The sequence below is a fragment of the Homo sapiens genome, chromosome 7, assembly GCF_000001405.40.
Source record: "Homo sapiens chromosome 7, GRCh38.p14 Primary Assembly".
Lineage (NCBI taxonomy): Eukaryota > Metazoa > Chordata > Mammalia > Primates > Hominidae > Homo > Homo sapiens.
Window position 1 is genome coordinate 148,761,210 of NC_000007.14, and position 27,082 is coordinate 148,788,291.

At 41.6% G+C, this 27,082-nt stretch overlaps 1 protein-coding gene across 6 annotated transcripts in view, besides 4 other annotated features; it reads left to right on the top strand.

Annotated features, from left to right (window-relative positions):
• CUL1 (cullin 1) overlaps positions 1 to 27,082 on the top strand; it is a 103,355-nt gene that overhangs the window by 63,454 nt on the left and 12,819 nt on the right. For all 6 annotated transcript variants that reach the window (NM_001370660.1, NM_001370661.1, NM_001370662.1 and 3 more), the window contains exons 8-13: positions 5,352 to 5,514; positions 6,410 to 6,540; positions 22,574 to 22,681; positions 22,762 to 22,868; positions 25,342 to 25,390; positions 25,780 to 25,911. In NM_001370660.1, the coding sequence (NP_001357589.1) occupies positions 5,352 to 5,514; positions 6,410 to 6,540; positions 22,574 to 22,681; positions 22,762 to 22,868; positions 25,342 to 25,390; positions 25,780 to 25,911 (690 nt within the window). The remainder of the gene's footprint in view (positions 1 to 5,351; positions 5,515 to 6,409; positions 6,541 to 22,573; positions 22,682 to 22,761; positions 22,869 to 25,341; positions 25,391 to 25,779; positions 25,912 to 27,082) is intronic.
• Positions 10,943 to 12,142: an enhancer, noted in NCBI's record as "CDK7 strongly-dependent group 2 enhancer chr7:148469244-148470443 (GRCh37/hg19 assembly coordinates)". NCBI's record gives its function as "activates an origin of replication core promoter dependent on BRD2, BRD4, P300/CBP, MED14 and CDK7 cofactors, with strong dependence on CDK7, by STARR-seq in HCT116 cells {active_cell/tissue: HCT116}" and the evidence as "EXISTENCE:reporter gene assay evidence [ECO:0000049][PMID:35650434]".
• Positions 12,463 to 12,512: an enhancer, noted in NCBI's record as "active region_26801". NCBI's record gives its function as "activates an Ori minimal core promoter by ATAC-STARR-seq in GM12878 lymphoblastoid cells {active_cell/tissue: GM12878}" and the evidence as "EXISTENCE:reporter gene assay evidence [ECO:0000049][PMID:35858748]".
• Positions 21,221 to 21,923: an enhancer, noted in NCBI's record as "H3K27ac-H3K4me1 hESC enhancer chr7:148479522-148480224 (GRCh37/hg19 assembly coordinates)". NCBI's record gives its function as "activates a minimal SCP1, AML or CMV promoter by ChIP-STARR-seq in primed H9 embryonic stem cells {active_cell/tissue: H9 hESC(primed)}" and the evidence as "EXISTENCE:reporter gene assay evidence [ECO:0000049][PMID:30033119]".
• Positions 22,124 to 23,323: an enhancer, noted in NCBI's record as "MED14-independent group 3 enhancer chr7:148480425-148481624 (GRCh37/hg19 assembly coordinates)". NCBI's record gives its function as "activates an origin of replication core promoter dependent on BRD2, BRD4, P300/CBP and CDK7 cofactors, and independent of MED14, by STARR-seq in HCT116 cells {active_cell/tissue: HCT116}" and the evidence as "EXISTENCE:reporter gene assay evidence [ECO:0000049][PMID:35650434]".

The following is a 27,082-nucleotide window of genomic DNA, read 5'->3' on the forward strand; positions in this document are numbered from 1 at the left end:
GAAATATAGATATCCTGGCTGGGCGTGGTGGCTCATGCCTGTAATCCCAGCACTTTGGGAGGCCAAGGTGGGTGGATCACCTGAAGTCAGGAGTTTGAGACCAGCCTGACCAACATGGTGAAACCCCGTTTCTACTAAAAATACAAAAAAATTTATCTGGGCATGGTGGCACGTGCCTGTAATCCCAGCTATTCAGGAGGCTGAAGCAGGAGAATCGCTTGAACCTGGGAGGCGGAGGTTGCAGTGAGCCGAGATTGTGCCACTGCCCTCCAGCCTGGGTGACAGAGTGAGACTCTGTCTCAAAAGAAAAAGAAAAAGAAATATGGATATCCTGGATTTAGACTCTAAGGAATGACCTAGGTCTGGAGTCAGCAAACTTATCTTGTAAAGGGCTAGAAAGGAAATACTTTAGGCTTTGTGAGCTATGTGATCTCTTTTGCAGCTGTTCAACTCTGCCATTGCAGCACAAAGCAGCCAGTGGGATATGTACACAACTGAGTGTGGCCGGGTTCCAATAAAACTTTATTTACAGAAAAAGGCAGGCAGGCAGAATTTGGCCTACAGGCTACAGTTTGCTGACCCTTGACCTAGCTGTACTAGGACAATGGTCCCCAACCCTTTTGGCATCACAGACGGTGGCTGGGGGAAGAAGGGGGATGGTTTTGGGACGAAACTGTTCCACCTCAGATCAAAGGAGCGTGCAACATAGATCCCTCACGTGTGTAGTTCACAGTAGGGTTCGAGCTCCTATGAGAATCTAATGCCGTCCCTGATCTGACAGGAGGCGGAGCTCAGGTAGTAATGCTCACTCATATGCTGGTCACCTCCTGTTGTGCGGCCCAGTTCCTAACAGGCCACAGACCCATACTGGCCCACAGCCAGCGATTGAGGATCCTTGTACTAGGAGATCTCCAGGAGTCTGGATCTTTCCAAGCCTGACACCTGCTTGCCCTGTATTCCCTGTTCACTTGGAGTATGAATGGACTGCGGAATCTCTTTTCCGTATGCTGAGATAGAAAGTCAATTAAAAGCAACAGCTCTGCTCTAACCTCATAGAGAAAGTCCTATCCGGTTTGTTTGTGGTGACCTGAATGCATTTTCCTATAGGAGATAGTGGTTATAAATGGGCTTAGAAGTTTGAAGTTGAAAGTCCTTGACAAATCTCTGCTATCTCAAAATCTAACAAAAATGGAACTATTCGGGGTATTATACTTGGAATATTAATGGTTCCTTGTGTATAATGGTGGGCTAAATTGACTTTCCTATGCCAATCTGGAACCTAACCAGCTCACCCAGAGTTTCAAACAACTGCCTAACAAATGAACTTTTGAAACAGTCTGTTTTAAACGTTAACATTGCCTGTTATTTCATTGTTTAATATGACAGTGTTGTATTCCTAAACACTTCTCTTATGAAACTCTGCTGTATATGGTGATTCTTTTAAAACTATATATCCCAAAGACCTCTTATCCAGATGCACATCCACGACAGTGGCGCGAGCCTGTTCTTTTTATGGGTTTATTAGAGGATTGTGGTCATCTCCTTTGTCCACACTGATGAAGTAGTAGTGCTCTAGGGCAAGGAAACCAGTGTTCTAGGGCAGAGCTACTGAAGCACTCCCAGAACAGGTAAATCTGTTTTTAAAACCAGGCCTAGGCCGGGCGCGGTGGCTCACGCCTGTGATCCTAGCACTTTGGGAGGCCGAGGTGGGCAGATTGCCTGAGGTCGGGAGTTCGAGACCAGCCTGGCCAGCATGGTGAAACCCTCTCTCTAATAAAAATACAAAAATTAGCCAAGTGTGGTGGCGGACGCCTGTTATCCCAGCTACTTGGGAAGCTGAGGCAGGAGAATCACTTGAACCTGGGAGGCGGAGGTTGCAGTGAGCCGAGATCGCGCCATTGCACTCCAGCCTGGGCAACAGAGTGAGACTCTGTCTCAAAAAAAAAAATAAAAATAAAAATAAAACCAGGCCTGACACCAAAGACGGTTGAGGAGCAAGAATTTCCAATGGCCTCGATGTTTTCAATCCAGCATGAGGCCCGCCTTCAAGGAAGCAGTGTGCTTCCTACATCCTGGTTCCCATAGAGGGGATTCATTTCTAGAAGAGTTAAAGGTTTGGCCCGGATCCACTTGGATCACACCAAACACGACTTCCATCATATTCTGAAAGATGATAATGCAGAGAGTCTATAAGCATAAAACTGGAATTTGACCATGTAATTCTGCTCTCATCCTATAGCCTTGCATCTCAAACTGAGCTATGAGTCTATTTTTAAATCCCCACCCCACCATTTATTAGGGGGATGACCTTAATGCTTCTGTTCCTCAAATTCCTTATCTGTAAAATGTGAATAATAATAATAGGTAATAATGAGGATTAAGTGAGCTTTAGTATTTACAAATTTTAACATGAGGTATTTATTTGTTAAAAGGTGCTTAGATTGGTGTGTGGCAAAGAGCAAAGCTAATGTATTTGGTATTACAAATATACATCCCACAAAACCTCCAGTGTATGCCTGGGAGGATGCAAAACCACAGGATAAAGGGTGGCAAATCTTACTCAATAACTTAGGGAGCAATTGTGTTTACATTACAACAAACATTCTATCAGGAAATAGAACAACTATGAGATAAAACATGACCCTTCAAGAAATACTCTGCAAATTCTAGCCAGTTGAGAGCAGTTCAAATTCCCTGGGTCTGTGTTCACTTTTCTCTATTAGGAGTGTTTTACAGGAAACATCTAAGAATATTTGGCTTGTCTTTCCAAGGATGGCTTTGAAGAGTGAACCATGTTAGTGTTTCTAAAAGATTTGACTGTCTCATGCGATTGAGACTGATCTGAGCTACAGAAACTCTGTATGACTACTGTAGGTTTCTAATGTCATTTTTTAAAAACTTTAAAAATATACCATACTTCATTAATTTGCTTGTCTTTTTTGGTTTTTATTTTCCTTTTGTTTTTACTGAGAACCGATCCTAGTGAATTAATAAAGACCATCTTTAATTGCATACTTTTATTTAGTCATTTGAATTTGACCTTGGTGTTCTAATACAACAGTCTGCCAAGTACAGTGATGATCAGGAGCCTATTTGACTTGGAATCATTAGAGAACCTAAATGGCTGTCCTTTCTGAAACCTGATGACAATACCTACGACCTTGGTTTCCTTGCCAATATATAAAATAAGCTAGTGTTGAGGCCCCTTGGCCATGAATGTTTCTGTAATCACCTAGGCACCTGTTCACTCTTCCTGCCCCCTCAGCCCCTGCAGGAAGGGTCTGTAGACTAAGAGGTGGAGAGCCGTGCCTCTCAGAGGATGAATCAGGAATGGCATCAAAGCCTAATCTTTCATCTCGGAAGGGGTAAAACTATGTTTTGCTGCCTGAGATGATTATGTTCTTCCAAGAAAGAGTTATAACTTAAAACAGAAAAAGTGGTGCTGTTTGGTTTGCATGTTCTATATTCCACCAGCTTTAGGTTCTTGAGTTATCAGTCTTAGTGGAACATTAGATATAAAGCAGCATTTATTGTTTTAAAATATCTTTATAATCAGAAAAACAAAATTACACATTAACTGTAGACTTTTTGGAAAATACAAATAACATAAACCTACAAGCCTGGGGCACTGTTGCTGATTATATAAACCACATTGGAATCATGGTATAGGTTTTTCGTAACTTGTTCACTAATGATTTGTTATTAGTAGTTGGTGTTTATTTTAGTGGGTAATCATAGTTCATTAACTGAACATATAATAACTGCCTCTTATTGGAAATGTATTAACTTCAAGCTTTTTTCTATTTCTTCATTTATGAGTTGTCTTTTCTTCCTTGTGTTTTTATTTGGTTGTACTCACTGCTTTGCTGGAGATCATTATGTATTAAGAATATTGACCTTTTGATACATACTGCAGATATTTTCCAAGTTTATTTTTCACATTTAGCTATTTAGAACGTGTAATAAGGTTCTGACTTACGTGGTTTAAACAGTTGTCCCATTATTATTAGTTCTTGATAGTACAAGTCCCGCCTAATCATTTTTTCATTTTATTTTTTCTTGGCTCTTGAGTATTGATTCATTACCAGTTGAATTTTTCCAGATTTCTCCAAAATTATACCAAATTTGAAAATCTGGGCAAGGCACGGTAGCTGGACAGCCTATAATCCCAGAACTTTGGGAAGCCGAGGCAGGAGAATTGCTTGAAGCCAGGAGTTTGAGACCAGCCTGAGCAACATAGTGAGACCTTGTCTCTAGAAAAAATTAAAAAGTTAGCCGGGTATGGCGGCATGCACCTGTAGTCCCAGCTGCACAGGGAGGCTGAGGCAGGAGGATCACTTGAGCCCAGGAGTTTGAGGCTGCAGTGAGCTATGATTGTGCCACTGCACTTCAGCCTGGGAGACAGAGCCAAGATCCTGTCTCTGAAAAAAATATATTTAAAACAAAAATCATTTTGGAGAGTATTGGCATTTTTATAATGCAAAATATAATTCTCTTTACTCAGATCACCTGAATAATTTATTGAAATTTCTTCCTTGCTTTGATAATTTAATAGTTTCTCTCTAAATTTTTGAACAGTCTGATTTCTGATGATGATTTCCATGTAATCACTTCAGGGCTTATATTTGTGTGACTCTTGGCTTCAAGTAGTTTTTAATCTAAAGTACCACATCTTAGTATCTGCACAGAAGATGCATTCATTTCTTAGAGTGGCAGAGACATTACCTCAAAAAGATAAAATACCATTCTCTGAGGGATCAAAATGATGTAAAGACATGTTAACTGTTAATAACGATGATGTTGTTAGGGCACTTAAAAAGGAAGTTTGAAATGGAAATACGTATTACAGAGAAAATGGCAGACATCAGTGGCTGTTTAAATATGGTTGTTGTTTACCGTAAAATCAAAGAACTTTTTCCTTTTTCTTTCTGTTTTTTGAGAAACGGAGTCTTGCTCTGTTGCCCAGGCTGAAATGCAGTGGCACAATCATAGCTTACTATGTCCTTTAACTCCTAGGCTCAAGCCATCCTCCCGCCTCAGCCTCCTGAGTAGCTAGGAAGGACTACAGGCGCGTGCCACACCTGGCTAATTTTTTTTTTAGAGACAGGGTCGCACTGTGTTGCCCAGGCTGGTCTCAAAATCCTGGCCTCGAGCAATCCTCCTGCTTCAGCCACCCAAAGTGGCTGAGCCATCATGCCCAGCCCTCCCTTATTTTCTTAATCGCATTTTATTAGAGCTGGCATGTGAATTTAATTTGCCATTTTTCAGTTTCCTTTAATTTACATATTAAAGAATTGTAACAGTTCTTTACCAATGAATCAAAACCATTCACTTGAATTAATTTTCTCCAGGCAGAGGCTCGTCTGCTTGAGGAACAACGAAGAGTTCAGGTTTACCTTCATGAAAGCACACAAGATGAATTAGCAAGGAAATGTGAACAAGTCCTCATTGAAAAACACTTGGAAATTTTCCACACAGAATTTCAGAATTTATTGGATGCTGACAAAAATGAAGGTGAGCCACAAGACTCATAAAATGTAGGTATTTATAATTATCTGTAGTTTTGATATTGCTTTTGATTCTAGACTCTCGAGTCAACGGCATTACTTGCCCATGTCAGTTTTAAAAAGATGCATGTGTTTGTACATCGTTATGTGCCAATTTCAGACTTCTGCAGAGCATTTTGGTTTGACTTAGGGGGAAGAGTGTATTTAGAATATGACTTGCTCCATACACTTTAGCATTAAATGATGCTACCCCAAGTTTTTTCTTGACTGTTCTTCCTTTGAAAATTCTCTGAGATGAGGAGACTGTCATCTTATATTTCCCTTAACCACTCCCATGTTTTACTGGGGCATGTTAGGAGCTCAATAAAAGATTGAAGTTTGGATTTTTCTTCTATGGTCCTCCTAAAGTAACCACATGCTGTATACACGTCTTAAATCAATTTGGGAGACCTTTTCTCAACTCATTTGTTTTTATAATTGAGATAGAAATCCATATTCTCCTTAAATGTATTCATTATTTTTAAACAAATATTTGAGTGCCTATTATGTGTCAGGCATAAATACTATTTCAATCTTGAGAATTTTAGGAAGCATTAGAGTTGTTTCTGATAATTTTTTTTTTTTGCTTAGTCTTAAGTTAGTGGTTTCTCACAGTAAGGGGGAAAATAAATTTACAATAGTAAATTTATAGTAAATAGTAACAATTTCATTGTTACTTTTAGCAAAATATACATATACCAAATAGAGAATATTTGGTTATAATTAAATGCTATTGATTATTAAAGTCTAAAAACATGGTTATCTTTTGCAGAGTATTTTTCATCTCAGTATAAATACATAATTAGTAGAATGGATATGCAAAATTTTTTTCAGTGCATAAAAGGGGTTTCTTCCTCTTTCAGATTTGGGACGCATGTATAATCTTGTATCTAGAATCCAGGATGGCCTAGGAGAATTGAAAAAACTGTTGGAGACACACATTCATAATCAGGGTCTTGCAGCCATTGAAAAGTGTGGAGAAGCTGCTTTAAATGTAAGTGAGATTTCATTGAAAATCAGTCAGGCTGATTATTTCCACATGCGAACTGCAAGCATATGTTATGCGTCTCTACTTCCAAATCTAAATGGTACCATTTTCATTAGAACTCTGAGAACCATGTTTTGTCTTTTTGAAGTAGATAGTTCACAGACATCTTTGTTTAGTAAATACCTCCGTAAGTTTTTCCCTCGCACTTTTTAGGCGTTAATAATGTTATTTTTTTTTTCCTTTTATGCCTTCTCACTGTTAAATTCCTTGCACTCACTAGAAGAAGCTGCTTCCCTAGAAACAAAAGGCTCCTGGAAGCTGTTACTTTGCCACTCACAGTCCACAGGTTGTGCCTTACAGGAACTTTGATCTGGATAGTAGCCTCTGGCTGAAGACCACAGGGCTGTACTCTGGAGAGGCCCTGCAGTTTATAGCATTTCTCTACACCCCTCCGCTTCCCCAGGGCTACATAGAATATTCCTGCTAGGTCATCTGTAATTCAGGTCATCTGTAATTCAGGTGATAATTTCACATTGGAAATAATTGCGTTTTTAAGACACAAATGAGTTGCCTTCAGTTTTGCTCCTGTTGTGAACTTCAGTTGTAACTGGGAGAACAATAGAGAAGAAAAGCTCTTTTTTTTTTTTTTTTTTTTTTTTGAGAAGGCGTCTTGCTCTCTTGCCCAGGCTGGAGTGCAGTTGTGCCATCTCGGCTCACTGCAACCTCCGCTTCCTGGGTTCAAGTGATTCTCCTGCCTCAGCCTCCCAAGTAGCTGGGATTACAGCCGCTCGCCACCATTCCCGGCTAATTTTTGTATTTTTAGTAGAGACAGGGTTTCGCTGTGTTGGCCAGGCTGGTCTCAAACTCCGGACCTCAGGTGATTCGCCCGCCTTGGCCTCCCAAAGTGCTGAGATTACAGGCGTGAGTCGTCACGTGCGGCCGAGAAGAAAAGTTTCTAAAACACATTGGTTCTTACATCTGAATGCAGAAAGCTTCTCTTGTTTTGACTTTATTGTGCTTAATGATTATTTTTGATAGCATTATCAAAAATAGTATTTTTTTAATCCTTATTTTTCTGTTATCTTTTGAAGGCTTCTTTTCCGTGTTTAATTTTGGGAGTTGCTGCTGACACTCAGCCGCCTCTATGAATTATTAAAGGGTTGAGTATAAAGCTTTCCTTTAGGTTTTTAAAACAATTTTATGCTCACAAGATGGGAGGGAACTGGCTCAGCCGTGGATTTTATGAAAAAGATCTCTAGGTTTTAGTAAAAACTTAAGTACAGAGTCCTCAGTGTCGGCACATACAGTGTCTTTACCGTGTGGTGATTACAGAGCCTGGCCAGGCTGCCTGCACTCGGATCTCAGCTCCACCATTGACAGCTATCTCACCCTTGGCGAGTTACTTCTGTCTCTGTCATTTTATTTTATTTTTATTTTTTTAAATAGAATGATAATGCCTATCCCATAGGATATTTGTGAATAAACAATACATGTAAAGTGCTTAAATCAGGGCACATAATTGCTCAGCAGTGATGACTGCTGCACGTTCTTATGAGTACACATAATTTTTTTAATTTAAAAACTCATTTCAAAATTACCCTTCAGTTTTTATGACTTTATTTCCAAGCTAAATGTTCCTTTAAAGGGCCTGATTCACACACACACACACACACACACACACACACACACACACACACACACACACAAAACGCTCACCCTCCTGTGATTCAGAAGGGGTCAATTCGGTGAAGACATTTTTTCAGTAATATAAGGTGCCTTCCCAGTTGTTGATTCAGAACTCAATTTACCTATATGGGCAGCAGAGCCAAGTAAATGACTTGACTTTCCTTGAAATGAGTTAAGTGGGAAGTCTGTTATTTCATCAGATAGATTAATGAAGCAGTTTTTGCTTTTTTCATTTAAATTGCTATATACTAGGTATGAGATTGGCCTTAGGGAACTCGTGTTCTATGTGAATATAGTTAGATTTAAAATAAACATGATAGCTGGGTGTAGTGGTGTGTACCTATAGTCCCAGCTACTCAGAAGCCTGAGGCAGGAGGGTCACTTGAGCCCAGGAGTTCGGGACCAGCTAGGGCAATGTAGTGAGACCCTGTCTCCTTTAAAAGGAAGAAAGAAAAAAAAAGCATTATAAATTACTTTTTCAGTTTTATAGGAAAGATGGGACGTTAATTCTAATGTTCATCTTTTCCAAACCAAAGTAAGGTGCTAAATTGGAGAAATAATCAACTATGATTCTCATGTTCCATTGTTTCTTTCTTGGATACAATCAGCTGCCTGATATTTTAGGCACTGAATAAATGCTGCCGATTGACTTTGTCAATGAGTCTTGAATCTGACATTTACCTAACTCGATCAGTTAAAGCAAAAGTATACCTTCTATGTAAATCATTTCTCTATTTGAGGAAGCTTCATCCGTCAGCAATGACAGCACAAATAAACTGCCTTTAACAGCAGTTACATTTTACGAGAAATCAAGCTTTTAAACAATGCTTGTGTTACTTAAATCTAAGCCACTGATTAACCTGAATTTAAGAACCAAAACAAGATTTTCTCCCGTGAAGAAGAGTTATAGCTCAGTAAACCCACGTTGCATCTGCCTTCACTCACAAAAGTCAAATATTAGTTTTTTTTAGTAAGTTACTGATTCTAGTTATTATTTACATAAGCACTGTTTCTACATTGAACTCATGAAACTCTGAGTTTTTTAATTGTTGTGCTTATGAAGTAAAATGTTCGGGAAAGCAAATACTTTTCCAATTTTCTGCAAAAGGAGTGTTTCCTAAAATGCAGTTTTATTCTTATTTGTAAACTTGCCGTTTGGCTCCTTCTGTTGGAATGCTGTCTGTCTGGTGCATGGGTTCCTCGTGCCCTTCCCTGCTCTGGGCTCACACTTGCCACCTCCATTCGCCATCTCTGGGAAAGCCCACAGAATTGAAGCTCAGGGGGAGCGTGGGTGCCCGGGCCATAGCCTGGCACACAGTAGGTGCTTGATTACTTATTGTAAGAAAGAAACACAGCTGCTAAAAAACAAATACTTTTAAATAGGTTTTAGTTTTTATCATTTATGTGGTAAATGTAAAAGACACATTGTAACCCAACCATAATTATTTTCAAAAACCCACTGATTATGAAAAATCAGGAGAAAAAAAGGTTAGTAAAAGTTAGAATCATTGTACATGATTTTAAGTGGGATTTAATTACCTTGAGAACACAATTTTTAAAGTTTAAAAATTTTTGCCTAATTAAGTTGAATCATAGTGTACGAGAATCATTTATAATTAGCATATTAAATGCCATAGAAGGCACTACCTAAGTGATTTTTTTTAAGTGCAAAAATGTGTAATATCAGTCCCGTGTCTTTCTCTGGACTAGAACACTATATATGTTACACTGAAGCTGTTCTTGATGAAATAAACTCCTTTGAGAGGCCAAAAAAAAGTTTTTTATCTGGCTAATCCTTTTATACCACTAATTTGGTTAGAAAACCAGCTTTACTGCTAATACCTGGCCTAGACTGAAATTCGTAGAGGTTTCCAGTTTATCATGTAAGTCAAATATTTTTTGTGTTCGAAGTTTTAGAACCTACTTATGAATTTTTCTTAAGGCATATCTTTTCCCTAGTTAAAACCAATTTAAACATTAAAGGCTATTTCTGGAAAACTGGCTGAAGGGGAATTTCCCTCATGGCATCTCCCTCTCGCCACCTAAAAGCTGGCAGCCCTCAGTGACGTGAAACTGAAGAGAGAGCCCTCCGAACCTCGGAGTGGGGAGGGGACTGTCCGTCAGGATTCCACTCTGTTTGGAAGCGTTCTCTCCAGCCTTCAGAGAGCCTCGTGATCAAGGGCATTTGTGCTCAACTGATATGTGAGGCGATCAATTAGCCTATTGCACTGGGGCACCAGGAGGACTTTGGGAACCTTGCACACAAATATTCAAGGATGAGATTTCAAACTGGTTTCGAGCTGAGCAAGGGATAGGAGAAATGGCTTGTTTAATAGGCAAGTAACCCCATGCATGATTGCTGGCCCAGGAACAGGTTGGGAATGTATCAAAAAATAGTCTATATTAAAATATAGAAGGTGATGGCCTCCATTCACTTAGTGAGGCTTGAAGGGGAGCATCTTCAAAGCAGAGACCATTCCTTCACGTGGTCATTTTAAAAAGAATTGAATGCCCACTGTGTGTGCCTGGCCCTGTGCTAGGCTCTTAATTTTTCTTATTTGACCAAAGCAACTGCAAACAGTCTCCTGCTTAGAATGGCTCACCTTAATGATTTTTTTGACTTTAAAATGGCATGAAAACAATAGGCATTTATGATACTTTCAATAAACTCATCGTACATTGAAAATACTGTCACACATTCAGGTCCGGGCGCAGTGGCTCACACCTGTAATCCCAGAACTTTGGGAGGCCAAGGCAGGCAGATCACCTGAGACCAAGAGTTCAAGACCAGCCTGGCCAACATGGCGAAACCCCGTCTCTACTAAAAATACAAAAATTAGCCGGGCGTGTTAGCAGGCACCTGTAATCCCAGCTACTCCAGAGGCTGAGGCAGGAGAATCACTTGAACCTGGAAGTCGGAGGTTGCAGTGAGCCAAGATTGCACTGCTGCACTCCAGCCTGGGTGACAGAGAGAGACTCCGTCTCAAAAAAAAAACAAAAAAAAAAACCCACACATTCAGTTTATGATGGGCTTATTGAAACATTATCCCAAATTGAGGAGTATTTTTAGCTGCATGATGTGGTCAGTGTTTCAAATCAAAGGGCAAACAAATTTTGCAGATCAAACTGAAATCGTTGTTTCATTTCTTTAGCAAGCATTTAGGGCATTCCTGTAGTAGACGTGATGTCAAGAACTCTGAATTAGAATGCCTTGCCTTTGTCCTTGTCACATCTCCGTGACCTCATCTGCCTAGTTTAGTGCCTACATTGCAGGTTCATTTGAAACTCACCTCTTCTCCATTCCTTAGCACAGAGGTGGCAGCTGTGTAGCATGAGTCACCCTGCCCTCATGCCTTGTTCATCATAAGCATTAGTAATCTAATAGGGTATAATTTCCTGCAGGGTCTGGACGTAGCCTCAGAATCCTCCTCAAAGCAGTAAGCAGCCTGCCTGTCTCGGTAGCAAGCTGTCTCCTCCTCTGTCTTCTGGGATGAGTCAGTGGAGCATGGGAATTCCTCCTCCCTTGGCTCTTACTGTTTTCTATGCATTTTCTCTCCAGTCCCAAGGCTACCATCTTAATCTGGGCTTCGTTTATCACTGCACCTCCCAAATGGCCCCACATCTCTCCCATTCCCATTCATCCCTCATGATAATTAGCAGTTTCGTCTTTCAGAAATACCACTTAATACATTTATAATTTTACTCTGTGTTCTTTTCATCCTTTGTTTTAAACAAAGCAGAATAAAGCCCTTCCTTGTGATAATATAAATCATAATATTACACTAAATCAAAATCCTCTAATTAGCCCACATTTTCATGAACCCTGTCTTCCAGTGAAACTATTATAATATCATTCCCCTACCCCAAAACTCTGGCTAATGTCTCTACTTATAACACAGTCATCCTTACCTTCTGCTTGTCTTAGTCCTGCTTTTAAGGCCAGCTCAAATCCTCCCTTCTAGAAAGAGCTGACCTTAACTCTTCTATCCTAAGCCCTATTTGTAAAACTCTCATTACAAGTGTACATGTGGTTATAACTTCCTGTGCTTCCTGTCACTGCACCATGGGTGGTACAGCCCTTGAGAGCGAAGCTCACGCCTCATTATAGTTTTATGCTCTGTGGTTTCGGGCCTAGCCTCTTACCCAGCGAGGATCTGTGGATGATAATGGTGAAGGCCGTCTGCTGCAGGGCTGCCGTCTCGGCTGCACGACTCTTGACCCCGCTGCGTGTGTCTTCTCAGCTGGAACTCACCATTGTGTAAATTTGCCTCACTCTGCTTTCCTAGTTCTTCTGTCTTCTCTTCTTAGAGACAGTCCTTCTTTTTTCTACCTGTGAAATACCTATTTATCTCTCAAAACCCAGCTCAAAAGTTTTCTCAGTCACCTTGGAATGGTAGCATCTCCCCCTTGAAATAATGGCACATTGGACTGTTTATGTGACACTGCTTTATGCTTTAGATGTCCGTGTGAACGTCCCTCTATTGTAGCAGAGATGGCTCTATCCAGTTTTGTGTCCTCAGAGCTTATTATGACACCTTATCAGTATACTTACATCTTAGTTACACTTCCCATTGCTCCGAAAAGGACTTGGGGCTGCTCACACAATACGTGAAATAAAATAAGATAAATTAAATAAATCGGAGAATAGCAAAATAAGGATATGAGACACAAAATAGAGCTTAATATAATTCTCAAAGTGTGTGCAATGCAGTCCGTTACTCTTGTTAGAGGTAGGTCATGATTTGCCTCGAAATCGTTGTAGTCAGTACAGAGAGCTTGCCATTAAAGACAGCCAGCGCCGTGGGGTACGATCGGCTAGTAACTCAGAAGAATGATTTTTCTTGATGGTCAGAGCTGAGGATACTTTCTCCAGTGGCTCATCCTAAAAAGCATGGTAGTGCCGTGGACAGCATCATCAGCAGTACACTCACAAGGAAATAGGATGTCAAGTCCTTGGGTAGTTTGATAGTTTTCCATGACACCAGCTTATAGCACAATGCCAAAATAAAGTTCAGGAGAAGGGTCAAATAATGCAGACTTGTAAGTTCCTGTTAATTCTTGACTATACAATTGATTCCATTTTGAATGTTTAACACACAGTTGCTCAGCAGTCTGGATGTTACTGTATTCCCCCACAAAGACAGCTCTGTAAATGAACATAAATCAGGCTATAAGAGAATATCTCCTTACACTTGGTCTTCAGGGCAGAAGTAGCAACAAAAAAGCACAAGTCCTCTTTGAAACCATATCTTGATTTAGTGTCCTCAGCCTAACAGGTATTGCAGTGTGGCCCAACAGAGATGGGTCTGTGAGATACTTCAACACCCGGCAGGGCTGCTGGGTCTAACATTGGAGTGTTGGGCTGCAGACACTGACTGGGGAGAAATGTTGTGAACTTTATTTGCAGTTCTGAGAGAAATGCTGTGTTGAAACAGGAGAGGTTTTCAGAAGCTGCTCTCAGTAGCTGGCTCCAGGATTGGGGTGATGGTATAATACTTACAAAAGGCAGCACATCAGATAGAGAATTTGATAGGCAGAAATTAGGTAGCTCCGGCAAGTTATTTTTCAATGGAAGACTAAGGGGTAGATCCGAGTACATTAGCAGAAAAAGTTCTGTGATTTAGATTGGGAAGTTGAGTTAGAAATAATTATAAAAGCCCAGTCATGTGTGAACTTAGACCAGTGAACAGACGAATGTACTACCAGCTACTTCTGGTAGATTTGAGTTTGGGTTTAGTTTAGACATCCAAGATCCCCTTTCTCTTCTGTAGTGAAGTGCGTGATTAAATAACTGAGTCTTGATGCAAACATTCTCTGGATGGTAAGAAAAGAACACTGTCCAGTCATTGATAAAATTAGCTACAGAACCTTACATTTGGAGTGTAACCCAGCTTGGTTTGTTCAAAGGAGATAGGATACACATGGATAAAGTCAGCTTACACACACAGGAAGAGGGTCAGATGAGAAACTCATAGACTCTTAGAGCCATAGCTATTCCTTAAAGCTGGCTAATGGGTTTATGGGGGTTGATTTTACTATTCTTTTCTCATTTTGAACATATTGAAAATTTTCTATATTAAAACATTTTTTTAAGAAACAAATGTGCAGGTTTTGATTGAGTGGATGTTGGAAAGGAGAAAGAGTGTCTTTAGGACAAAAGGAAGCACGGTTTTGTACAGTAAGTCAGACATTTAATTACACAAAAAGCTGATATATGCTGATAATATACATTGATTCATATAGCACGTAGCTAAATTTGTGAATTACAGGTACATAACTTCAGAGAAACAAGGATGGTTTGGATTTATTTTGTCTGTTTCCCTCCCCTGAGAAATTCGTATGACCTTGCCTTAAAACTTTTAAAGAATACATTTTTAAATCTATATTCCTGCTAAAGAAAACAGTGAATCATTAAAATACCACCAGAAAAAAAAAAAAAAAGGTTTGATTTTTAGTTCAGGTCGGTAATGGCCTGTAAGTACCTTGAAGATGGTATCTTCCTATCACTTATGCCTTGGGACAGTACCCAAGAGTGGCTGAACTTTTTACCTAATTAAAAAATGAGTCATTTATTTGAAAAATTCCACTTCCATTTATTTTATCTGATTTCTTAAATATCCGGTCAACTGCTAATTTGTCAGATGTCATAATTCGTCAGTCCTACCCTTTTCTACAGGCTGAATTTTTAATTTGAAACAACTACACCTCTACCGAGTGTTACTTTCAGACGTAAATTACTGCAGGAAGACCCCCCTCTGCCTTGGTTAACATTTAAATGAGATGCCTCCTGTCCAGGACGCCATGAGACGAAGAGAATAATCATTTTCCCTAAACGAAAATGTACACATTTGTCATTTTGGAGTCTAACATAACCAGGCTTTTTTTTTTTTTTTTTTTTTTTTTTTGAGATGGAGTCTCACTCTTTCACCCAGGCTGGAGTGCAGTGGCATGATCTCGGCTCACTGCAACCTCCACCTCCCAGGTTCAAGCGATTCTCCTGCCTCAGCCTCCTGAGTAGCTAGGATTATAGGCATGTGCCACCACACCTGGCTAATTTTTGTATTTTTAGTAGAGATGGGGTTTCACTATGTTGGCTAGGCAGGTCTCAAACTCCTGACCTCAGGTGATCCACCCTCCTCAGCCTCCCAAAGTGCTGGGATTACAGGTGTGATCCACCACGTCCGGCCGAGGCTGTCATTTTTATATCCAACATACACCCTTCTTTCTCTTAATTATAGGGAAGACTTTAATCATTTCACAAGCAAATCCACTATGGATGCACGTCCCTACCCAAATTTGACTTTATACCCACATCAACTAAATTGTAGTTTAAATAAGTACTGAAGTAACCCTTGATTGGCTCAAGGCCAATTAGAGACCCTGCCCATGAACTTCTCTTTCCTGTCCATCCTCACTGAGTCAGGCAGCCCTATACTCATCTTCCTATACACTACTTCTATTTCAGAACTAACTTAATTATTCCTTTCTGAAACATTCTACCTGGGGAATCTTTTCATTCTCTTCAGAGAAGTCAGTCTTCCCTGGCAAGTCTTAGTTCTGCTTTCAAAGTTTAACATTTTCGTCTGTAAACACTCAGCCCCTAAATCTAGTCCACCTACAGCCTCCACATTTACAGAGTACATTCTGAAAGGCTGAAAACAAGGACTTCAGCCTCACCTTGAACTAAAGGAAATGTAGGTGTCAGCCAGGACTAGGGGAACAACCAGGGGGCGTAACCAAGGCCGGAATCAAAATGAAACCCACACAGTTATGGTGCTGGGATCAGGAATGTGTAGATAGTAGATCAGAATCCAAAGGTGACAATGAGATCAAAGATTTAAAAATTGTGGTCTGAGGTGCAGAGCCATGATTCCAAGATAGATATTGATGATTGAAGCAAAAAGTAGCAGCAGGTAGGCCGGTTAAAATAATGAGAAAAGGTTGGACGTGGTGGCTCACACCTGTAATCCCAGCACTTTGGGAGGTTGAGGCAGGTGGATTTGAAAAGAAAGTATATTCTGCTGTTGTTGGATGAAGTAGTCCATAGATGTCAACCAGTGGTTTATTATTAGTCATGTGAGTCCTGGGGAACCCAGAGGAACTCCCTCTTCAAACAAATGTTTTACCTGAGTCTGCACGTGTTGGAGAGTTCTCCAAATTAACTCTCATGTAGTCATATGATGCGTAGTAAAGGGAAGACTTAAAATGTGCTCATTCCAATCCTACGTGCCCCTGAAATCCAGGGGCAACTGCAGCAACATTTTTGAATTTAGACCAATAGAGGCTTTGGGGGAGGAGCATTTTCTTGCTGGCATTGTTTAACATTGCCAGGACATCACCATGAAAATAATGAAGGTCAGGCACGGTGGGTGATGCCTGTAATCCCAGCATTTTGGGAGGCTGAGTCGGGTGGATCACCTGAGGTCAGGAGTTTGAGACCAGTCTGGCCAACATGGTGAAATCCCGTCTCTACTAAAGATAAAATTAGCTGGGTGTCATGGCATGCACCTGTAATCTCAGCTACTTGGGAGGCTGAGGCAGAAGAGTCACTTGAACCAGGGAGGCAGAGGTTGCAGTGAGCCGAGATCATGCCACTGCACTCCTGCACTCCTGCCAGGGTGACAGAAGAAGACCCTGTCTCAAAAAAAAAAAAAAAAAAAAAAAAAAAGAAGAAGAAGAAGAATGAGGAAAGAGAGCACTTACTGAATTGTTAGTGTTTTTGTCTCAGTATTTTAAACTTTAAACCATGCTCCATCTGAAGAACTGTTGGTTTCTGCTTATTGAAAGAGGTGAGATGATACAGTAGAAAAGGCCTATTAAGAAAATGCAAGATTATTTCTAAATGATTTTTGAGATCTAACATTTATGTCCCCCTTTTTTTGCCTATTAATATCAAAATTAATGTTTTCCCCTGAGCACGCACAGACTGGTAGTGGTGGGAACCTCAGAACCATGCTGGGTGGTGGGGATACCATTGAGCACCTTCCCAGATAATGGTCCAAGTGCATGGTCTGCACACATACTCTCTATGGTTTTATTTCTGAAGCCTTTGCTTCTCTGTGTTTTGCATGGAGATAATGTTACTTGAAGACCAAGTGCTGATGCTAATGGGAAGAATGACACTGCCCCCAAACAACTGCACGATATGTTTTTGTTACTTAGTGGGGCCTCATTTCTCTCCCCTTTTTAAGGAAAAATTATCTAGAGGTAAGACTGTGGACAGTGTCAAGCCAGGTCCTGGTGTCCTGAGGTTGATCTGTTCTTGTTGACTGCCTGTCCTCAGGGAACTCTCCTAAAGCTCTTGTAATTGATCTGCTCTCTTTAGCCCCTGGCTGGATGAAAGATGTGGAGGCTGAATGTACCCTCAGAGGTAGTGTAGGCAAGAGCAGCTTTCCACGGACTGTCAGATCTGTCCCCTCAGCCTGGAGAGCACCAGTTTATGTAGATGAAATGGTGAAGGATGCTCCCCTCGAGCCTGTAGCACCCCATTATTCCTCTTTAGCAATATTCTTGAATGGTGCTGGGTTACTAGGAAGTGTTCGAGTGTTAAAGTATCACTTAGCACCACAACTGATCCCCAGAAATTGTGTGTAAATATATACCAGCTCTCCATGAGATGATGCCCTCACACCTCTTGTATGCCATATTCGGTTTACCTTTTTAAGAAAGAGTAAGATAAAAAGTTATGTGAGACTCTTAACGTGATTTTCTCTTCGTGAAATTGGCCTTTAGAATTATCCTTTTAGTGGAAATGTATGGAATAAAAGGTCGCAATTCAGTTGTGATTATCATTATGTTCCTGGTTTAGCCATTTAGGAGATTATTTGATGAATGCCACTTCACTAGGTACTTAGAAGTACGGCAGTGGTAGCAGGCAGACACGGTCCCAGTGGGCAACACTGAGATGTACCCAGCAAGGAATTGGCAGGTGTGATTAGTGTTGGGATGGGGTTTGGGAAGTCTTAACAGGGCAGCCTCGGCCTATCTTGGAAATTCAGAGAAAGCATCCCTGAAAAAAGTGTTTGAGATGGAGAAAAGAGTTAGAGCTAGCTAGGCAAAGGGGGATCCCAGACACAACAAAGCCCCTCAGTGGGCGTACACACAGCCCATTCTAAGAACGAAGAAGGCAGCATGGGCTGGCCAGACCAGGGAAAACCTTGAAAGCTGTATTGATGATATTGGCTTAATCCTGAGGGTGCAAGAGGAAACCAACGGAGAGTGATACAGTCATGGAATCGACGGGATATATGTGCTTGCTGCCATGTAGAAAGTGGGTGAAAAGGAAGAAGAGTTGTTACAAGTTGTGATGATTAATATTGAGTGTCAACTTGATTGGATTGAAGGATGCAAAGTATTGATCCTGGGTGTGTCTGTGAGGGTGTTGGCAAAGGAGATTAGCATTTGAGTCAGTGGGCTGGGAAAGGCAGACCCACCCTCAATCTGGTGGGCACAATCTAATCAGCTGCCAGCGAATATAAGGCAGGCAGAAAAACGTGAAAAGGCGAGACTGGCCTGGCCTCCCAGCCTACATCTTTCTCCTATGCTGGATGCTTCCTGCCCTCGAACGTCAGACTCCAGGTTCTTCAGTTTTGGGACTTAGACTGGCTCTCCTTGCTCCTCGAGCTTGCAGATAGCCTATTGTGGGACCTTGTGATTGTGTAAGTTAATACTTAATAAACTCCCGTATATATATATATCTCCTGTTAGTTCTGTCCTTCTAGGGAACCTTGACTAACACACAAGTATACCAGTTAGGTTAGTTAGGTTTGTTGTCGTGGTTCAGATAGTGATAGTGGCCCACTGGAGACTGGGCTGGTCGTGCGGGGAATGGAGAGAAGAATGATGCAGAGACACTGGCTTTGTAATGGACAGGTTTTGTGTTTCGATATTTGTTAAAACTGAATGATGAGTACATGGGGTAAGTTTTACTACTCTTTCTAATTGTGAATATATTTGAATTTTTTCCACAATAAAACGTTGAAAAGAAATGGACGGGTTGTATGGATTGAGTGGATTCACAGGATTCATGAGTCGGAAAGCAGGAACTGAGTCCTGGGTGCCTGGCTCGAGCCGCTGGGTGAGTGGTGGCACTTGCCGAGAAGAGCTCCAGAGAACACAGGACTGGGGAGCAGATCAGGCCATTCGTGACATAGGCTTTGGAAATCCCATGATAGCCCAGGGCAGGCCACACGGGCTCACCTGGGGGAAGTTTGGTGTGGATGTGAATGTGTCCGTCCTAGGTATAACAACAACTGAAATCATATAGGAGTTGAATGAGCCCTTAGGGACAAGCCCTGGGAGATGTCCTGTTTCTTACATGTGAAAAGCTCTCGTGAATACACAGAGGGTCCTGAATCAAACCCATTACTACTTTATTTTTTTAAACCTCAAACCTTTGTTCTTTGCTTTCTTGAAAAAACATCCATTTGATCCAGCTGATCTCTCTCCTCTCTGTTTTATAACCTGTCTTCGTTGTTTACCTCCTGAATGCTAAATCTACTCCCCTTTTGAACATCTTTTCTCTATTTGCTGACTAGTTCCTTAAAATTCTCTCCCGTATATTATTCTAGTGTGTTGTCTGCTTCTTGACCAGTTCCTAAATGGCTTTTCTCTGAACCTCAAATGCTAAATTCACATTTTCAAGGCCAGATTTTTTTTTTTTTTTTTTTTTTGACAGAGTCTCGCACCGTCACCTGGGCTGGAATGCAGTGGCGCGATCTCGGCTCACTGCATCCTCCATCTCCCGGTTCAAGCGATTCTCCTGCCTCAGCCTCCCGAGTAGCTGGGATTATAGGCGCCTGCCACCACCCTCAGCTGATTTTTTTGTATTTTTAGTAGAGATGGGGTTTCACCATGTTGGCCAGGCTGGTCTAGAACTCCTGACGTCATGATCTGCCCGCCTACGCCTCCCAAAGTTCTGGGATTACAGGCATGAGCCACCGCGCCCGGCCAAGGCCAGTGTTTTGACACTTTTCCTTTAGTAGGTTCCATGCAAGTCCTCCCATCTCACCAGCCAGACTGCTGTAGTTGAAAGAATTTTGGAATTGGAGTCTGAAGACTTCTTTACTCCTGGAGATTTGGCTTTCCATGTGAGAAGTTGTTCCTGGCATTCCTTGGGAAATTGGTATTTTTCCAAATTACAAATCTGAGGAAAAATGGCCAAAACATTTTGAGAAAATACAGAAAAGTATTATAATTTGGAAACGTTATAGTCAACATAGAGACATCACTGGTTCAGAGGAGTCCACCAATGACAAGTCGCAAGCAAGAGCGTGAGTAAGTTGAGGCTGGCGTTTTCGGGAATGAGGGTGAAGGCGTGTGGCAGGGAAGCCGTGCAGGCCGAGTGGTCAGGCTGCCAGGTGGGCAAGGCCTTCTAAGTGTGGATCTGTAGCCCCTCTGCTGCTAAGGGTGAAGTCATTCTTGCAAATAAAATAAGTATTAATATTTATATACATAACATGCTATATATAAACCCTGTGAGGGGTCTTCCAAAAAAATAGCAAGTTTTGGAAGCAAATTGAGTCCTTCAATTGGCAGTTGTGACACGCAGTTCTTTGTAGGGCCGTTAACTTGTTAAGGATCCTGCATGTTACCGTATTCGAAAACTACCCAATAGCGTTTCTAGCATTTTCCAGTGTTTGAATCCTCGCTGTAGGCTGGAGCACTTTGTAAATACTGTAACAGAAGGAAGGCAGAGAGAAGAATATGTGAATGTTCTGGAATAATTTGACATGAAATCTGAAAGTGATCTAAAATCTGAATTGGCAGAAGCAATATCTATTTCAGTGACAAAACCACAATTAGGTCAAGCAGAAAATATTTTCATTGTTTAAAAGAAGCAAGCTTATATGAAGTAAGATATGGCCCAACTTGGAGGTGCTTTTGGTTCACTCTGAAGATTAAGACCATCCAGGCAAAGTGGAAGAAGTTTCCCTACGTCTGGGATAGCCATGAAACAAAGAGCAAGGCTATCTGGTAGTGCAGTTCACGCTCTGTGTGTTTTAACATTTTTAAGATGGTAATTTTAAAATATTAAATATCTGCAATACTGCCTTTCAATATTAAGTGATTTTTATTTGGCAATTATTTTGCATTAAGTTCCCTTTTAATGTTTTCTCTTATCAAATGTTTATGTCAGGTGGAGACCATATTTATATCTTATTGAACTTAGCACAATATATTCATAATAAACCTTGCATTTATTATATAGAGCTTTTTTTAACAGGAAACTTCTGACACTCTTAAGTGTAACCCTGTTGCAGAAAAATCATTCATCCTTACTGATACTCATTGTTATTTAAAAACAAGTAAATCAAATGTTATAAAAAATGCAGAATAGGTAGAATTGGGAATGCTGATTTCTGGCACCTGAGCCCTGCAGATTAATGTATCGTGATGTGGAAACATGGGCGTGCCGCGGCGCCTGGATCTGTGCTTGGCTGGGGGTGACCCGGAGCTCCCTCCCACCAACCTTCCCAGCCGGGCTCCCTCGCAGCCCGGAGCCAAGCCTGTGCCTGCCACCATTTCCTGGCAGTGTGCTTAGCTGTGACAGTTTCTACGTCTGTAGAATGGGGATGAAAACAGCACCTGCTGCCCAGTGTGGGCTTTCGCGGTCTCATGAAGGGTGGTGGCGGCGTGCGCTGCATGCCTAGCAGCAGCGCTGTTTTTCTCATTAGCACTTAGCTCCGTCTCCTTTGCCTTCCATTGTCGCCGCCTTCCTTTGGCCACAGGAGCCTCTGCGGCCAGCCTTCCCGTTGCATTTCCATGTTGTTCCTTGTTCCGGGGAGGCCCCTTTGCTGCCCTGCGCCGCGCTCCGCCCCTCTTCCCGTCCTGCGATGAGGCCCTGGCCCCCGGCATCGCCACGCGGATCCGCGCCTCTGGTTTGCAGTGGGTGGGGGCCGCAGTCAGACTCCCGCCCTGAGCCCCGCTTTCCCTCGCGTTGCCTGCCCAGCCGGGCTGATGACCGACCTCGGCGGCTAAACGCCTTCTCCAGCTGAAACAGAGTCCAGAGTTCCACTGTTTAACAAGGAGGAATTGGCAAAGCAGAACTGTCACTTGGAAAATGCTGTTTTCATGATCTCTTTGAGTTTTCACTGTTTTTAATGCAAGCTCGGAATCAATATTTAGTTTTGAGTGTGGAGAATAGATTGTTTTTTCTTTTATATATATAAACAAAATGTCCTATGTGTTTCAACGATGGTACCAAAAGTATTTCTTGCTCTTATCTCTTAACTTTGAAAAGGTATCTATAGCTTTTAGAATATTTTGTATGCTAGTACATGCATTGTATACCTTAATACACAATTTAATCCCCAATAACCAACTTTTGTTTCTATTTCTGCCCCCATTTAAGGACCCCAAAATGTATGTACAGACAGTGCTTGATGTTCATAAAAAATACAATGCCCTGGTAATGTCTGCATTCAACAATGACGCTGGCTTTGTGGCTGCTCTTGATAAGGTAGGTGCGTGAGGGTTGTGACTTGCCTGTAGTATGTATGGATGGGGCGTTTGTCTCTAACTATATTCCGTGTAACGCAGGCTTGTGGTCGCTTCATAAACAACAACGCGGTTACCAAGATGGCCCAATCATCCAGTAAATCCCCTGAGTTGCTGGCTCGATACTGTGACTCCTTGTTGAAGAAAAGGTATTAAATGACCCTATGTTTTCTTAGTATGCCTGTTTAAAATCTCAGCTTTTATATGAGGAATTAAAACCTACATTACATTTTACATACATTAAATTGGAATTTTTGTACCTTATGAGAAAAATGCTTAAACATAATCGTCCTTGCCGTTGAAAATCTGCATTCCCTCCCACTGGCTGTTTTTCAAACAGAAATGTCTCAATGTATTGTGGGACTTTGGTTATTCTCCATCCAAGCACTAACCAGGCCCCACCCTGTTCGCTTCTGAGATCAGACAAGATCGGGCACGTTCAGTTCAGAGTGGTATGGCCGTAGATTGCCTTTGTTATTCTGTGTAGTTTTAAATTTATTTTTGTTAGATGAGTTTTTGTTGCTGTTTCATATTCTTTACTTTTGAATCTTATTTCTCAATTGATGTTTTCTAATCAATTTATGTGTATTAAGATCTGGAAGCAATATAATATATAGCTTTCTCCTCTGCGTGTGTTTTTTGAAGTTCTCATTGAGTTTTTTGTTTGTGTGTTCTGGTTTTTCTCAGCTTCTCTTTCACTTTAAGTTTCCTTCAGTTTAGAAATGCTCTATTTCAGATATCACAACAATAAGTTTTAAAGATTTTAATGAAGGAAGCTAATCTCCTTCTGGCTTTCTGTTGCAATAGTTTTCCACACGCCAAAATTATATTGGTTTTGATATTAATAAATTATATTTTAAACAGCTCTTGAAGGCTAGCATAACCCCGATACAAAAAAGACCGAGAAATACCCACATACCAGAATGAAAAGACTACAAACAAGTGTCACTTGAGAATAGAGTTGTAGAAATCTTAAGTAAAATATTAACAAGCCAGATTTCCCAGTGAACTAAATAATAATTCTTCAAAACATAGTATAGCTTTCTAGGAACATAAGGATAACCCAGCAGTACCAAGTCTGATGTAATTTACTACATTAACAGAGAACCATGTACCAACTATGTGACCTTTTTGGTAAATGATGGGAAAACATTTGATGAAGGTCAATAGCTTTCTCTTAACGCAGTTTACCCAAGGCCAGTGAGAAACTCTGAGTGTTTGATTTTTTTTTCCTGTTTATTGCAATAAACAGGAGTATTTATTCCTGGTTTAATGTGTAATTTAACAATTGCGATCAGATCCTCTCCAGAAATGAGAGGGGACTTTAAATTGGAAGGCCTCTGATGACTTGGTTTCATTTTAGGGGGCTGCATGTTATGACTATGGAGATACTCCACTGGGTCTTCATTCAGTTTGTTTGACAGAACACTTAGTGTCCTTTTTTTTTTGAGACTTAGTCTTACTCTGTCGCCCATGCTGGAGTGCAGTGGCACAATCTCGGCTCACTGCAACCTCTGCCTCCTGAGTTTAAGTGATTCTCATGCCTTAGCCTCCTGAGCAGCTGGGACTACAGGCGTGCCACCACACCCGGCTAATTTTTTTTTTTTTTTTTTTTAGTAGAGACAGGGTTTCACCATGTTGGCCAGGCTCGTCTCGAACTCCTGACCTCAAGTGATCCACCCGCCTCAGCCTCCCAAAGTGCTGGGATTACAGGTGTGAGCCACCACACCTGGCCTTAGTGTCCTTTTTATCCTTTGTCTTTTCATAAATGTCCCTCGTCAAGTCTACTGATACTAGTTAAGGCCACTGATGCAGACAGAATGGCAGAGACATTTCCACAGCACCTCTTTAATGAGCGTGTGTTGGGTGAGTGGAGTCAGGGAGGCACTAAGTTAAACTGCTCCAAGGGAAGAGGAACACCCCTGACCCAAGAGTGCCAAGAATAGGGTTGGGTTTTCTGAACCAACTTTTCTAAAGTTGGAGACACCTCTTCAGAGTTTCTGTGGTGGCTGATTCGTTTTATATGAATTAGGGGGTCTTGTTTATAAAGCAGTCTTGTAGAAAAGACCTGTACAAAAATTCATCTACCTTTAATTCACCTTTGAATTATTATTTGTTCATAGAATGAATCAGTTGTTAAAGGACAATCATCTCTTGTATATACAACTACAGAGGGCAGCAGTTTAGTAGGAATTTAAACCCCTTCATCATCTTTAATGACTGGGCCATGAAAGGGAATCTATGTGCCTTTTTATTTCTCCAAAGTTAAATTACAGCAGACTAGAAAGCAATTGGTAAAGTGAATTTCCTTTACTGAAGTTTAAGTGGATTATCTTAAAGGCAAACTTCTTCAGAATGTTTTTGGAAATGTTTTATAAATATCTCCTGTTGGTTTTCACCTTGGATATTCTAAATGACTACTTCATAATCTGTTCTTCAGTGTTGAGGTTACAGTATGAGATTGCCAGTTTGCTGTAGGTAAGGAAAGTCAACCTTCCCTCTTCCTCTGCACTAATCTGATGAGAACTGATCTTTTGAATGCTTGAAGCTGCATTCTGGCTAAGTGGTGCTTGTTTAAACGTACTGATGTTTTAAAACATGGTATCTTTTTAAAATTTTCAGTTCCAAGAACCCAGAGGAGGCAGAACTAGAAGACACACTCAATCAAGTGGTAAGTGCTTCATGAGCATACCCATTTCCAGTAGCTGTGTATTTCACAAGCTGTTTGTAATGTTATTTGTAGATGGCCTCTGAAATGTGAAAAGTAATAATCATTGATTTTATTTTGAATCTCTGGTTTTACTTCCTAAATTGAGTTACTACTTTTAGCATTCATACTTTTCTCATTAATACTCAGTCAGTCCAACTCACTGAATTAAGGGACTCACAAAACTTTCAAGACTCTGGAGTGGAGATTTTGCCATCATAAACGTTGGCGTACAGACCTGCCCAAAGCCAAAGGCACATCTTGGCTCCTGGCTTGTGGCCGGTGACAGTCAGCTCTGCACTGTTGGCTTGTGTGTGTGCTGGTTAAGTGTGTTGTCTCGGTGGCTTTGCCAGATGGTTGTCTTCAAGTACATAGAAGACAAAGACGTATTTCAGAAGTTCTATGCGAAGATGCTCGCCAAGAGGCTCGTCCACCAGAACAGTGCAAGTGACGATGCCGAAGCCAGCATGATCTCCAAGTTAAAGGTGAGTTTCATCTTTTCCTGAAAAATCCCAGCTTCTGAGTCATTATTAAAACAGCTCTATGGCCGAGCGCGGTGGCTCATGCCTGTAATCCCAGCACTTTGGGAGGCCGAGGCGGGCAGATCACGAGGTCAGGAGATCGAGACCATCCTGGCTAATATGGAGAAACCCCATCTCTGCTAAAAATACAAAACATTAGCCGGGCATGGTGGTGGGCGCCTGTAGTCCCAGCTACTTGGGAGGCTGAGGCAGGAGAATGGCATGAACCCGGGAGGCAGAGGTTGCGGTGAGCCGAGATCACACCACTACACTCCAGCCTGGGCAACAGAGTGAGACTCTGTCTCAGAAAAAAATAAAAAAGCTCTTAGTCTCTCCAGGTTATGAGGCAGGCAGAGGAGTTTGTGCAGTGGTTTGTACAAGAAGCTCTGCCACTGCTCTTCTGAAAGCCTCCCACAACTATCACTCTACTCTCGTTGGGCCCCGGTGCCTTCCCAACCCCTTCCCCACCCCACTGTGGGGCTTCCATCCTACCCAGGCCTGGCTGGGCTCAGCTCACCATCTGTGGGGCCTCTCCTGCCTCCCACACCTTTAGCCTTGCAGCACATTCACACTTCCACACTGTGCTGGCCTGGAGCTGAGTGGAGGTTTTGTTTGCTCTGGGCTTGGTTACTTTGCTGTCACGCAGCCCTTCCTCTGCCACCTCCTTTGCGTGCCTGTGTGTCGGCGCTGTCGAGTGCTCTTATCTGACTTGGGACATACTTTACTTTGGCCCCAAATTATGTAGGTATCTTTGTCAGCGTGGGCTGCCATGACGGAATACCATAGACCAGGTAGCTTAAACAACAGAAATAGTTTCTCACAATTCTGGGGGCCACAAGTCCGAGATCAGGGTGCCAGCTGATTCGGTTCCTGGTGCAGGCCCTCTTCCTGCTTTGTAGGCAGCCACCTTCTTGCAGTGCCTCACGTGTCAGAGAGAGAGTGCAGAGCTCTTGCACATCTCTTACAAGCACACCAATCCCATTGTGAGGCCCCATGCTCAAGACCGCATACCTCCACACAGCATCACGTTGGAGGTTTGGGCTTCAACATAGGGATTTTGGGGGCACACAGTTCAGCTTCTGGTAAGAGATAGAGACAGATTATTTCATCATTGTATTCTACCAGTGTCAGGACA